This window comes from Homo sapiens, chromosome X (assembly GCF_000001405.40).
Source record: "Homo sapiens chromosome X, GRCh38.p14 Primary Assembly".
NCBI classification, from domain to species: domain Eukaryota; kingdom Metazoa; phylum Chordata; class Mammalia; order Primates; family Hominidae; genus Homo; species Homo sapiens.
In genome coordinates, this window is record NC_000023.11 from 128,953,410 (window position 1) to 128,969,180 (window position 15,771).

The window sequence follows — 15,771 nt, forward strand, 5'->3', positions numbered from 1 at the left end:
TTTATTATACAAGCATATATTTGATACTTTTCAGTTGTATATATTAATTTTGTTCTGAGAAGTCTGAATTATCTTACTATGTACTATATTTTTAACTTGATTCTCTTGTGTTTTCTAGATATTTAATCATACCAGTAAAAATTTGATAATTTGGCTTCCTCCTTTCCAGTTTTTATACTTCCTACTTCTTTGGCTTATCTAATTGTACTGACTAAAACCTCTAGAATAAAGTTAATTCTTACCATCTTCCTGCCTTTCATAGAAGTCTTTCACTACTAAAAGTTAGTGTTTCACCATTTAACATGATTTTGGCTTTTGGTTATTGTATTAGTCCATTTTCACTGTACTGATAAAGACATACCTGAGACTGGGTAATTTATAAATAAAAAGAGGTTTAACTGACTCACATTTCCATGTGGCTGGGGAGGCCTCACAATCATGGCAGAAGGTGAAAGGCACAGCTTAAATGGTGAGAGACAAGTGAAAAAGGAAACCCCTTATAAAATCATCAAATCTCATGAGACTCATTCACTACAACAAGAACAGTATGGGGAAAACTACACCCATGATTCAATTATCTCCCACCGAGTCCCTCCCACAACAAGTGGGAATTATGGGAGCCACAATTCAAGATGAGATTTGGGTGGGGACACAGGCAAACCATATCATTCTGCCCCTGGCCCCTCATAAATTTCATGTTCTCACATTTTACAATGAATCATGCCTTCCCAACAGTCCCCCAAATTCTAAACTCATTTCAGCATTAACTCAAAAGTCCACAGTACAAAGTCTCATCTGAGACAAGGCAAGTTCCCTTTGTTTATGAGCTGTAAATTCAAAATCGAGTTAGTTACTTCCTAGATACAATGGGGGTACAGGCACTGGGTAAATGTACTCATCCCAAATGGGAGAAATTGGCCAAAATGAAGGGACTTCAGGCCCCATACAAGTCCAAAATTCAGCAGGGCAGTCAAATCTTAAAGCTCCAAAATGATCTCCTTCCTGGCTGCTTTCACAGGCTGGCATTGAGTGTCTGCACCTTTTCCAGGCACACTGCGCAAGCTGCTGGTGGATCTACCATTCTGGGGTCTGGAGGATGGTGGCCCTCTTCTCACAGCTCCACTAGGTATTGTCCCAGTGGGGACTCTGTGTGGGGGCTTCAACCCCATATTTCCCTTCTGCAGTGCCCTAGCAGAGGTTCTCCATGAGGGCCCCACCACTGCAGCAAACTTCTGCCTGGACATCCAGGCATTTCCATACATCTTCTGAAATCTAGGCAGAGGTTTCCAAACCTCAATTCTTGACTTCTGTGCACCCACAGGCTAAAAACCATGTGGAAGCTGCCAAGGCTTGGGGCTTGCACCCTCTGAAGCCATAGCCTGAGTTGTACCTTGGCTCCTTTTACTCACAGTTGGAGCAGCTGGGATGCAGGGCACCAAGTACACAGCAGGGGAGTCCTGGGCCTGGCCCATGAAACCATTTTTTCCTCCTATGCCTCCAGGCCTGTGATGGGAGGGGCTGCTGTGAAAACCTCTGACATGCCCTGGAGACATTTTTCCTATTGTCTTGGGAGAGAGGCCACACAATCATGGCAGAAGGCAAAATGCACAACTTACATGGTAGCAGGCAAGAGAGAATGAGAGCGAAGAAAAAGGGTTTTCCCCTTATAAATCCATCTGATCTCATGAGACTTATTTACTACCATGAGAACAGTATGCAGGAAACTGCCCCCATGATTCAATTATCTCCCACCAGGTCCCTTCCACTAGTGGAAATTATGGGAGCTACAATTCAAGATGAGATTTGGGTGGGGACACAGCCAAACCATATCAGTTATACACACACACACACACACACACACACATATATACACATATACACACACACACCCATATACTTGTATATTTTATACAGTCATTTTAAGCCTTTTTAAGTCATTTTAAGAACTATCCAATAATTCCAATTTTATTGAGAGTTACTTTTTAGTTGGGAATACATATTTAATGTCATATTTCTTTTCAGCAGTTCTCATATGAATTTTTTCTCTGTTTTCATTGAATATGGTGGAAGAATGGCAAGGGAAAGAGTAATTCAAATGACTTTATGGAGTAAGTCATGTTGCACAGAGATCTGGAGAATAATTAATATTTCTGGTTTCAAATGGCAGACTAAATACACATGATAGTTTTCCTACCTTCTGACTCCATACCATTTTCTCCGCCAAAGCTAAAATGAGAGGGAGAAAGAGAAAAAGAGAGAGAGAGAGATAAATACTAGACTCAAAATCAAGAAGATACATCATTAGGGGACTAAAATCTGAGGAATCTCTGCAAAACTGAAAACCAACAAATCAAACTAAATAGGAAAACAGCAGCCTATGACATGCACAGATTAGGTACCAGGATCTGTTTTCACAAAGGGTAGAAGTTACACAAAGGGTGCTTCACACTTGGAGGTCATGAAATCTGACAAGGGTGTGGCATAGAAGAAGCCAACAAGGAGATTAAAAGGGTCACTGAAGTGATTGTAGTAGACACACTGGCTAACCTCTGTGCATTCCCCTGCTCTATCCCCACTGTGAGTCAGGCAACAGCAATGGGGTTATCTGTCTTCAGGCAGAAGCAGTGCTTGAGTCAGGGAGAGAGAATAGTGTCCCCAGAGGCTGATGACTTCTGGAAGGAAAGGGGAGTGACCATGTCCTGATTGCCAAATGTTAAAATATCCTACCCATTGACACATTAAAAGCATCTCTATCCATCTTCTACTCTCACTGTAAAGAGGGCACAAGCCCCAACAGGCACCTCCCAGGGAACTGCATAAACAGAGGCACCAATCTGGCAGGAAATCTCATCAATAAAGGAAACGTAATAATCAAGAATCACAAAATATTCGAAGAACAGCACACACAACCAACTGAAGGATGAGCAAGGTTTTACCAGGCAGTGATAGAAATACATTACAGGCAGAAGGAAATATGTGCATGAACAAAGGTATAAGAGTGACAAAGAATAGTATATGTTTCAAATATAGAGCATAGCCTGCCTGAGGACATAAGCTTGAGGGGGTAGCCTGGGCCAAATTGTAGAGGGTTTCAGATGCCAAGCAGAACCATTTGTGTTTTATCCTGTAGGCAATGAGAATGGAGACAGTGGCAGTTGAGGGGGAGAGTGACATGATGACAGCTATGCTTTAGAAAGATTATTCTAATGGGAATATGAAATGCAGATAGAAGTGGAAAGAGTAGAGCCATTTGGGGGGCTGCTGCCACAGAGTAGAGTAAAAAAGACTGACGTCTGCTTGAGAGCAGTGGCAATAGGAGATGAAAGGAGAGGAAAGAAGTGAGAGATGTAAGATATCTGTAATTGATTAGGTTTAGGGATTCTGCATTAGGGAGACAAAGGAATCACAGGTAATTTTAAGTTACATGTTTCATGTAACTGAGTTAGGGAACAATAAGATAACTGCATTTGGTTTTTGTTCATTTTGTCATTGTTATTTTTTGGAGATGAGGAGTTCATTTTGGAAGTTTGAGTTTGAGGTGACTGCAGGATATATCTAAGTGAAAATATTCTATAAGCAGTTGGAAGTTCAAATCCAAATTTCAAAAGAGAGGCCAAAACTAAGAGACATAGGTTTGAGCAGTATTTTGCAATAGTGGGTTAGATCACTCAATACAGCGAATGAAGGGAGGAAGGAATGAGGAGATTGAGACAAAGCTTCCAAATACAGATCAGCTATCTTAGGAACTGACTTGAGCCATTTTTGATAAAGTGCTATGTGAAGCAAAATGATTTCATTTTTTTTGTTTTGTTTCTACTAATCAGAACCAAATAAGTTGGCCAAGTGATCGTAGGAGTAACTCACTAGAAACAAAATGGTGTGAGAAAGAGTATTTTCTCTCAGCAAATAAAGATGTTTAGGTTGAGTAATGTTGACAAATAAAAAATCACACACAATGTTAGAGTTAAATGTTTATTTTGCAGTTGGGGAAATTTAAGTACAAAGAAGTGAAGTGACTCCTCCAAAATCACACAGCTAGTGTCAGAGCAAGACTAGAATTCAGTTCTGCTTTATAGCCCAGTGATTCATCTTCTCCCACCATCACCACCCCACTAACTCATATACAGCCAACAACTGATATCGTTGATTACTACATTTGATTCCAAGAATTACAACCATAATTCAAGGTGTTTGGCAGGGGGCAAGACATCATGAGTCAGGCTGATAGTCTGTCTATTTAATGTGTAGTTAATTGTCAATTACATCTGCAAAAAAGCAAGCCATGGCAAGGACAGTCCAAACAATGAATACTTTTAAAAATCATTTGTTTTGAATTTAATATGTATTTCAATTTCATGTCATTTAAAGAAAATTATGCACACCCAAAATGTTGTCTGCAAAAATACACGTTTGTAAAGTAAATCATTTTTAGTCCCTTATTTATAATACCATTTCTAAGATATATTCTCAGGAAAAAAAAAACATATTGTGTTTTCAAGATAGTCCAATCCTTTTACATGATTAATAAGTCTTTAATGCATGATAAATATAAGAAAAATACTCCTCAGAGCCCATGAAATCAAATCCATACCCTTTAGCATGCCATTCAAAGTATCCTACCTCAGGGCCCCTACCTAGCTTTCTATATTTGTCTCCCTTTACATGCCTATATCAATCCTCTCTCCTAATGACACTAAACTATTAGCTCTACCCCAAACATTCAATGTACAATCAACCTTACCTCTATGTCTTTGCTCATACTGTTCCTGGGGTTTAAAAATGCTTTCTCCACAATCACCTAGCAAAAGTCGTATCTGTTTTTCTAAATCTACCTCAAATTCCACTTCCCTGTGAAGCCTTCCCTGATCACTCCAAAGGAAGTACTCTCTTCTTCATCTGCACCACCCTCAGGAATAGAGAAGAGAATCTGAGGGCGATCTTGGTGTAGTTTTGGAACACACTTAAAATACTACCTCCTCTTAAAATGTAGGCTAAATTTGCATTTATTCATATGTCCCTAAAATGTTATGTGCTAGAAATCATGCTCACCATTGAGAATATAATGATAAGAAAAAAAAAAAAAAAAAGAGTCCTTGCTTTCAAGGAGTTCACAATCAAGCTAGAGAGGCAATTAACTAAGCAGGCAATTATAATTAATTTATGATGAGTGCTGAAATACGGGTAAGTCAAGGGTGCTACAAGACGGCAGAGGAGAGTCACCAAAACCAACTTTAAGGAGTATATTAGTTTGTTCATGCACTGCTATAAAGAAATAAACGAAACTTGGTAATTTATAAAGAAAAGTGGTTTAATTGGCTCATGCTTCCACAGGCTGTACAGGAAGCATGTCTGCAGAGGCCTCAGGAAACTTACAATCATGGCAGAAGGCAAAGGAGGCAGGCACATCTTACATGGCTAGAGCAGGAAGAGAGCAAGAGGGGAGGTGCTACATCCTTTTAAACAACCATATCTCATGATAGCACTAGAGAGATGGTGCTAAACCATTAGAAACTGCCTCCATGATCCAATTACCTCCAACCAGGCCCCACCTCTAACATTGGAAATTACAATTAACCACGGGATTTGGGTGGGGACAAAAATCCAAGCCATATCATTCTGCCCCTGGCCCCTCCAAAATATCATTTCCTTCTCACATTTCAAAATACTATCAGGCCTTCACAACAGTCCCCCAAAGTCTTAAGTTATACCACAATTAACTCAAAATTCCAAAGTCTCACCTGAGACAGGGCAAGTCCCTTCTACAATGGGGATACAGGAAATGGGTAAATATTCCCTTTCCAAAAGGGAGAAATTGGTCTCAAGAAAGGTATTACAGGCCCCATGCAAGTCCAAAACCAGCAGGGCAGTCATTAAATCTTAAAGCTCCAAAATAATCTCCTTTAATTCCATGTCTCACATCCAGGTCACACTGATGCAAGGAGTGGACCCCCAAGGCCTTGGAAACTCCACCCCTGTAGCTCTACAGGGATCAGCCACCACAGCTGCTCTCAAGGGCTGGTGTTGGGTGCCTGTGACTTTTCCAGGCACACAGTACAAGTTGTTGGTGGATCTATCATTCTGGGGTCTGGAGGATAGTGGCCCTCTTCTCACAGCTCCACTAGGCAGTACCCCAGTGAGGACTTTGTGAGGGGGCTCCAACCCCACATTTCCTTTCTGTACTGCCCAAGTAGAGGTTCTCCATGAAGGCTCCACCTTAGCAGCAGACTTTTGCTGGGACATTCAGGCTTTTCCATACATCTTCTGAAATCTAGGTGAAGGTTCCCAAGCCTCAACTCTTGCACTCTGTGCACCTGCAGGCTTAACACCACATGGAAGTCACCAAAGCTTAACGATTTACACCCTCTGAAGCAACAGCCAGAGTACCTGGGCCCATTTGAGCCACAGCCAGAGTTGGAGCTGCCAGGATGCCAGGAGCAGTGTCCTAAGGGACTGTTCTTCCCTCCTAGGCCTCAGGGCCTGTGATAGGAGGGCCTGCTGTGGAGGACTCTGAAAAGCCTTCTGGGCCTTTTCCCCATTGTCTTGGCAATTAGTACTTGCCTTCCTTTTACTTATGCAATTAGTCTGGTCTCACACTGCTGTAAAGAAATACCTGAAACTGGGTAATTTATTTTAAAAAAAGAGAGATTTAATTGGTTTATGGTTCTACAGGCTGTACAGGAAGCATGCCTGGGAAAGTCTCAGGAAACTTACAATCACGGCAGAAAGTAAAAGAGATGCAGGCACATTTTACATGGCTGGAGCAGGAGAAAGAGAGCAAGGGGGGAGATATTATATGCTTTTAAACAACCAAATCTCATGATGGCACTAGGGGGATGGTGCTAAACCATTAGAAACCGCCTCCATGATCCAATCACCTCCCATCAGGCCCTACTCCCAACACGGGGGATTACAATTTGACATGAGATTTGGGCAGGGATACAAATCCAAACCATATCAGGGAGTGAGTAGTCTTCATGGAAGAAGTGGCACTTGAGATGGAATCTTAAGGATGAGTAGAAATTATCTAGACAAAGTGGTGACCATCTGGGAATGGCAAGAGATGAAACTGGAGAGATAGGCACTGTCAAGATCCTGCAGGGCTTTATCGACCCTGATATGGAGTGTTGATTTTATTTACAAAGCAAGAGCAAAGAAGAGTAATAAGGCTTTAAAGCAGATAATGCTATGATTTGATTTTCATTTTTTTAAGGACAGTTTTGGCTACTGAATTGAGAATGGATTGGGAGAAAAGTAGGATAAGAGTAGAAGTAGGGAGATCACTTAGGAGGCTCTATAGTAGTTAAGGCAAGAGAGAATGGTAGTTTAGTTTAGAGTGGTAGCCTTGGCCATTAGTGCCAAACTAAGGAGGTATCCAGGGAGACAGTAGAAAGTGGACAGTTTCAAAGGTATTAAATAAGTACAACCTAAAAGACTTGAGGACTGATTGAATGGGAATGGGACTGCTGAGAGTGAGTAGAGGCTCCAGTGAGAAACACTATTTAGTCTCCCCATCAAGGGTGGAAAAGATAAAAACCTTTACATAGAACTTGTACTGATATGTAGTTTAGTCAGGGTTGCCCCTCCCTCCATTCAGATTGCCTTGCCCTGGTAATATTTTATAGACATCACTCCCTGTTATCAGGCATGAATGTAAGGTGGGCATAGTGAAGGAGAGGGAAAAATGAAGGATTATTCCCAAGTTTCCAGGTAGGACCACTGGATAGCACTTATTGAGATAAGAAACATAGGAAAATAAGGTCAGGGTAAGAAGTGAGGAAAGATGATTTTGGTTTGATGTGTACTGAGTTTGAGGACCCTGTAACACTTGGCACTGCATCTAGCATCCAGGGGAAGTTCAATTAATATTTGTGAAAAATACTGAAATTAAAGAGACAAGTAGAAGAAAATGAAATAATTAAGTAGATTGAGAAAAGTTGCCAGAAAGCTTGGAGAAAAACCAAGATATGTAATTTTTGCAGAAGTCAAAGGTAGAAACTATTCTGAGATCAAAGTCCTATAAACAGAGTCAAATGCTTCCAAGAGGTAAATAAGAGAATTGGAAATGATCCATTCAATTTGTCAACAAAAAGTTCTTGGTGACCCCTGTAAGGGCAGTTTCAAGTAGCATGAGTATGAAAGCGAAATTTGAACATGTTTAAAAATAAATGTTTGTGGAACTTCCACTTCTGGCCAAGATGGAATAGCAGGGACTAAGCTTACTCCCCTGCCTGAAACAACTAACAAAAAGGAACAAAATATATGAAACAATAGTTTTCAGACACTAAGCATCAAGCAACAAAAAACAATATTTACTGAGATAAAGGCAATAAATGATCTTTAATTATAGTTGGGATCTATAATATCTCCCTCTCAGCAACTGATAAAACTACTAAACAGAATATCAGCAAAGATAGAGAAGAAATAATAACATATAATCAGCATAGGACATCCCACCCAACAACAGAAAAATACATATTCTGTTCAAGTATACATGGAACTAACAAAAAGGGACAAAATATATGAAACAATAGTTTTCAGACACTGAACATCAAGCAACAAACAACAATATTTATTGAGAGATAGGAAACAAATGATGTGATCTTTAATTATAGTTGGGATCTATAATATCTACTTCTCAGCAACTGATATAGAACTACCAGGCAGAATATCAGCAAGGATAGATAAGAAATAATAACATATAATCAGCATAGGACATTCCACCCAACAACAGAAGAATACACATTCTGTTCAAGTATACATGGAACATTTTATCATGATAGACAATAATCTGGGCCATAAAACAAGTCTCAATAAATTTAAAATTATTTAAGTCACATAAAGAATATTCTTTGATCACAATGAAATTAAGTTACAAATCAATAGCAGAAAAACCTCTGGAAAATTGCAATTTTTTTGGAAACTAAACAACACACTTATAAATCATGAATAATTAAAACATCAAAAGGGAAAATAGAAAGTATTTTGAATTTAATAACAATAAAAACACAGCTTATAAACACTTGTAGGATGCAGCTAATATGGTACTTACCAGGAGATTTATAGCACTAAATAAATATATTTGAGTATAAGAAATGTCTTCCATCTATGAAACTAGAAAAAAAGCAAATGTAACCTAAAATAAACAGAAGAAATGAAATAATAAAAATCAGAGTTGAAATCTATGAAATAAATAAAGAAAAACAATAGAGAAAAATCAGTGAAGTCAAAAACTGGTTCTTTGAGAAAATCAATAAAATTGATAAATATATAGCCAGGCTGTATAGGAAAAATGAGAAGAAACAAATTATCAATATCAGGAATGAGAGTGGTAACATCACTACCAATTCTACAATTATTAAAAAGCTATTAATATTATAAACAACTTTGGCTAATAAATATTACAGCAGATGAAACTGACAAATTTCTTACAAGAAAGAAACTACTCAAAACGGCTCAAACAGATACTATTATTACTCAAGGATAGATAACCTAAAAAGCCCTATATCTATTTTTTAAATTGAATTTATAGTTTAAAACTTGCCCAGAAAGAAAACTCCAGGCCCAGATGGTTTCACTAAAGAATTCTATCAAACATTTAAATTCAATACAGACTCTTCTTGAAAATTAAAAAGGAAGAAATATTTCCAACACATTCTATAAGGCCAGCATTACTGTTACCAAAATATAACAAAGACATTACAAGAAAAGAAAACTATAGACCAATATCCATCATGAACAGATATGTTCTTAACAAAATTTGATGGCGCAAACTCAACAATGTATAAAGGGATACTACATCATGACCAAGTGGCTCAATAGTTATCCTATTATTACAAGGTTAGTTTAGTATTTGAAAATCAATCAAAATAACTCATCATATTAATAGGCTAAAAAACCATATGATCATCTTAAAAGGTACCGAAAACACACTGGACAAAATCTAACATCCATTCCCCCAAAAAATTTTGGCAAGTTTTGCAGAAGGGAATTTCTATAACCCAATAAAGGGCATCTGCAAACAATCTACTGATATACACCGTGACATGGATGAATCTCAAAAATGTTACGCTTTGTGAAAGTCAGATATATAAGAATAAAAAAAATGCTAACTCATAAAACTCAATAGCCAAAAAAGTCCCCAAATAACCCAATTAGGAGATAGGCAAAGAACCTGAAGAGACATTTTTCCAAAGAAGACATACAAATGGCCAATAGGTATATGAAAAGATGCTCAACATTACTAATCATTAGAGAAATGCAAATCAAAACCATAGTGATATATTTTCTTATCCCAGTTAGAATGACCAGTATCAAAAAGACAAGATATAAAGAATGTTGTTGTGAAGAAAAGGGAACTCTTGTAAATTGTGGGTGGGAGTGTAAATTGGTACAAACATTATGGAAAACAGTATGAAAATTCCTTAAAAATTAAAAATATAACTACCATATGATCCAACAATCCCACTTCTGCATATATTTTCTAAGGAAATTAAATTGATATTTTGTAGCAATATCTATACTCCTATGTTTATCACAGCATTATTCACAATAGTCAAGATACGGAAACAATCAAAGTGTCCATTGGTGGATGAATGGATAAAGAAAATTTGGTATATATATTGTGTGTGTGTGTGTGTGTGTGTGTGTGTTTGTGTAGCAGAATATTAGTCAGCCTCAAAAAAAGAAGAAAATTCTGTCATTTGTGACAATTTGGATGACTCTGGAGAACATTATGCTAAGTGATGTAAGCCAAACACAGAAAGACGAATATTGTATGGTCTCACTAATATGTCTAAAAAAGTTGAACTCACAGAAGCAGAGAGTAGAATGGTGGTTGCCAAATGCTGGGGGCAGGAGTGAGGGGAGGGAAGAGGGAGATGTTAGCCAAAGGGTACAAACTTTCAGTTATAAGACAAATAAGTTCTGAAGATCTAATGTAATGCATGGTGATTACATTTAAATTTGCTAAGACAGTAGATCTGAAGTACTCTTACCACAAAAAAGGTAACTCTGAGCACAATGTGTATGCATACCAAATCATCATGTTGCACATCTTAAATTTATGTAATTTTTATGTGTCAATTATACCCCAATCAAGAGGAATAAAAATTATCTGAAAAGAAAATAAATTAAAAATTGTAAGGTACACATTATACTCGATTGATAGTAACCTGCCCCCCCCCCCAAAAAAATTAATCTATAGCAACAAAAAGAATATTAGAGTTTTTCTGGGGTTCCCCCCCCCAAAAAACATTAATCTATAGCAACAAAAAGAATATTAGAGTTTTTCTGGGGCTGAGAGGTAGAAAATTAACTAGGAAGAGGCAATTGACTTTTGGGGTGATGAAAGTGTTCTATAGCATGATTGTGATGATGGGTACATAGGTTTATGAATTCTTCAGAACTCATTAAATGTACACTTAAAATGTGTGCATTTTATTGTATGTAAATTACACTTCAATAAAGTTTAAAGTAAAAACTAAGTGCAGCTGAGGAAGTATAGATGGTAAGCTCACCCTATTTGATAAATTTTGGCTAAGAAGCACAATATGGGATTGAAGGATTATTTTTGTTGTGTTTTACAGTAAGAAGGCAACTTGAGATTGATTAAAAACTGATAAGAAAAGAGGGAGAGATTGAAGACATATATTTTTTATTTTTATTTTTTATTATACTTTAAGTTCTAGGGTACATGTGCACAACGTGCAGGTTTGTTACATATGTAGTAGCCTTCTATAGTACCGCCATCTTTTACAGCAATCCACATATCATGCTTCCCTAATAGATAGGAGTACCTTATAATCAGAAGTGTTAAGGTTTGAAAATATTTGCAAGGATATATACATTTTCAACTAGAAATTTCAAGCAGGTCAGAAGTTTGTCTCTGGGCAGCATATGTGAAATACTCTACCTTCTAGCAAACTTTGATCAGTTACCTAGGATCAATTACTGCCTGGAAGTGGAGAGTCACCCAATCTTCCCCTGCTTTTGATACGACTGCCTTTTAGGTAACTAATGTTAGCTACCAACTTCTCCCTATACTTGTATGGATGTTTGAGGCAAAATTTCAGACTTGCATTAAATATTTTTTAACTATCAAGTAAGATTTACTCCATTGTAAGTGTTATTTTTCCAGTTTGTATTTAAAACTCTTGTACACTTTACCAACCAACTTTTGGACTGATTTGAACGCTGGAAACAGTTTATTTTGGTTACTCAGAATAGACTCATTTTCTAAATGTATTTTAATTATCATTATCTATATATGGGAAATAACCCAAATAAGATCTGCAATAAAATAGAAGCTACCCATGTCAAAACCCAAAGAAGTGATTCAAATGTTGGAGACTTTAGATGCTTTGGTGTGTCAATGAGGTAAAGGATTCAGGAGAGAAATGGGCTTTAAGTACTAGGTGCATTTTCATAAATTGCTGTCATGGCATTGCCCTTGGTATCTTAAACATGAGAGAGTGGAGCAAAACAAACACCAGTGCTGTCTTTTTAACAAAAGAAATAAAATGGCAGATACATTTTCAAAGAGATTTTATCACATCTATCCTAAATTCTATCCTCAAAGTTAGAGGCAATAGTTCCCATATTCTCACTCCAGCAAGCTTCTCCCTGTGGCTTCTAGTAAATAAAAACATGTATATATCATTTGTTATCACAGGAAAATAGGTTACTCATGTCCTATTAATAGAGTAAGTTCCTTTTCTTAGTAGAAATAATGGAGATACACTACAACATCTTTACCTTCTTTCCTGATCCCTTTGATGCCCCATAATACATATATCTGAGGTAGCTAGCCAAGGTCAGGGGCTCAACCTATGGCTGGGTTTAAGAGCTCAACCTATGACAAGGATTAGAGGTCAGCCTATGATCAGGATTAGGACCTCAGCCTCTGGCCAATGATAGGGTTCTACCTGTGACCAGGTTTGAGTTTTTTTCTGGGATTAAGGCTAGGCTCAGGCTGAGACTATACATAAGGTTAAAGCTTATGCCCTGGGTTCCATCTGTAGCTGGGGAACAGAGTTAAGCCATGAGACCCAAATTAGAAGAAACCCACTACCTTGGTTCTATTGCCACAGGGTTTTGACCAGCTAAGTTAACCAACCAGAGTCTGCTTTGGAAGCAGGCATGCGAGAGTACCCAGAGAGACACCAGTTGTGGGTCCTTCAACTACTGCTGACAATTAGCTGAGAAAGTCATTTCCTCTCACCATGCTTCCCATTACCCATTCTTCCAAGTGTGGAACCTGATCATTATTTCTCACCATGGGACAAGGAGCTAGGGTGAGAGGAAGGCAAGGAAGGGGAAATGAGCTTTGAATTAACATTTGCTGTTGTTTTCTCTCTTGTCCTACTAACCTCTGTCTCTTATTGAAAACAAAGCCAAGCTTCCAATTTTATCCCTCCGGGTATCAGTTTCTTTCTGTTGCTCTTACCCATAATTTGAGTACTTATTGGTTTTTTTGAAATTGAATATTTCCATTGGCCCCTATACTAGACTAATTGATTCATTTCTCTCTATCTGTTGTTTGCATGCCTTCTTGACGCTCCTCCCTATGTGAACACTTCTATGTGTATATACACAATTTGCCATCTGAAGTATTAAGATTTGAAAATATTTGCAATATCTGGACTTCTAACTAGCAATTTCATAAAAGCCAAGAAGTACACACACTGCTGTTTCAGGATGTCTTAGTTTTTTGTTTGGTTTTGTTTTGTTTTGTTTTGTTTTTGTTTTTGTTTTTTGCTGCTGTAACGGAATACCACAAACTGGGTATTTTATAATGAACAGAAATGTATTGGCTCACGGTTCTGGAAAGTCCAATATAAAGGTGCCAGCTTCTGGTGAGGGCCTTCTTGCTGCATAATAACATGGCAGAAGGCGTCACATGGTGCAAGGGCCAAAAAAAGAAAGAGATCAAGGAGGAGCAAACTAATTCCTGTGATAACAATAGCAAACCCACTCCTGTGATAATGGCATTAGTTCATTCATGAGGAAGGAGCCATCATGATTAAACACCTCTTAAAGGTCACATATCCCAATACTGTCACAATGGCAATTAAATTTCAACATGAATTTTGGAGGGGACAAACATTTAAATCATAGTACCCCTTAAAAATGAATTTAGTAAACAACATCTTTATGCAGAGTAATGACTGTACTTGACACTAAACGGGGAGAGGATACGGACAGTTTGGCTATGGGGTGCTCTGCCTAGTTTCCAGGCAACAGACTGCCCCTGGTGCCAAATCCCAGAATCCCAGCAGCTCCAGGGAATAAAAATGGTATGATTAGCTGCAGAAAAGCTTAATTTTATTACTGGAGAAGTAACTCAAACTGCACATAATAGGTCAAGAGGAGTATTTAGGTAACAAAGAATACTGATGATGATGTTGATAATGGTGGTGGTGTTGGTGATGATGATGATTTTAAATCATTTAGATTTTAGATCAGGATAATATTATTTGAAATGATTTTTTCTCCTAGTAGTCCACTCCGTACCCCAATGACCACCACTCCCTTCCCAATTCCATCAGTTCCACAATTTTGTGTTCATTGCCTCGGGGAGGGATATGACTGAACAAAAGCAGAAATAAAAGAGTTGATCAGTTTGGGTGTCCAAAAAATTAAGTTCTGAGGGCACTAGAGAGGACAGAGAGTAAAGTGAATGTGTTTATTGAGGAGGATAGGAGAAAAAGAGAAATTTTGAGACTATAGGCATAACTGGAACCCAGCAAGAGGGTCTTTGCAAATTGCCTCCTGGCAAAAGCCTTGGGGAATGAAGAAGGAAATAAATTTCTGTGCCTGCTTATGGCCAGGAAGGTGCAGAATGACTTCCAAGTCCTCAGATGAAGCATGGAAGTATCAAAGAGAGCCATTAGAGCTGAAGGGGACAGGTGGAGGGATATCAAAGCTGCAACTTACCTAGTAGATGACATTAAGGATCAGATGGCTCACCAGTGCATACAACCCTAGGGAAAGGAGAGATCCTTGCATAGAATGATATTGAGTTTGGCCATCCTATGGGTTTAGGAACCCAAGCAGAAGTTGAACTATAAAAACCTAAATTTGTGGACTGAGACTTAAACCAGCCTCTTCAATATGTAAAAGAAGACTATGTCCTGAAGTAAGGAACCTTTCATGGTTTCCTTAAATTTAGCTGAAAGTTGCTTTTGGAGGGGATGTTATTAAATGGTGCCAACTCCAAAAAATGGTATCACACAGTTGGTTAGGAAAACAGAGGGCCTCAAATGGTACCTCACAGGTGCACATAATATCAACTTCTAACTGCAGGTAAAAATTAGTCTCAAAAAAAAATTAGACAGCAATTAAATGAGGATCATGATGCCTGTGGATGGCACAATTTTCCCCAGGAGAAGCTATCTGTCAAAATTTAGCTATATATATGGAGGTGACATCATATACTTACACAGTGTAACTCATTTTCTTGTCAAACATTTGATCTTAGACACACGGTAGTATTTAACTTACATTTCTAGACACACAGAAGCGCGCGCGCGCGCACACACACACACACACACACACACACACACACACACACACACACACACATCATAATGCTTAAAATGAAAGCCTCCAGGTGAATACAAATGTTCTCTCCTCCACTTCTTAGCTTAGGTAGTCGCAGATATGCTTTTAAACTGTTAACTGGAATATTAACCACATATGACTTTAGATTACATGTTTGTCTAAGACTTCCTCACCTAACTCTTCAAAGGGACTGCCTGCTGCCATCACTCT

The 15,771-nt window shown here is 38.2% G+C and overlaps 1 long non-coding RNA gene across 7 annotated transcripts in view; it reads right to left on the minus strand.

Annotated features, from left to right (window-relative positions):
* LOC124905213 (uncharacterized) overlaps window positions 1–15,771 on the minus strand; it is a 275,363-nt gene that overhangs the window by 42,340 nt on the left and 217,252 nt on the right. For 2 of the 7 annotated variants that reach the window (XR_007068322.1, XR_007068326.1), the window contains exon 5: window positions 1,883–9,133. The exons of 3 other annotated variants lie outside the window; for them this stretch is intronic. This is a non-coding gene — a long non-coding RNA (uncharacterized LOC124905213). Of the gene's footprint in view, window positions 1–1,882; window positions 9,134–11,155; window positions 14,982–15,771 lie in introns of those variants that run through there. 2 more of the 7 variants (XR_007068319.1, XR_007068317.1) reach the window with 2 other exon arrangements.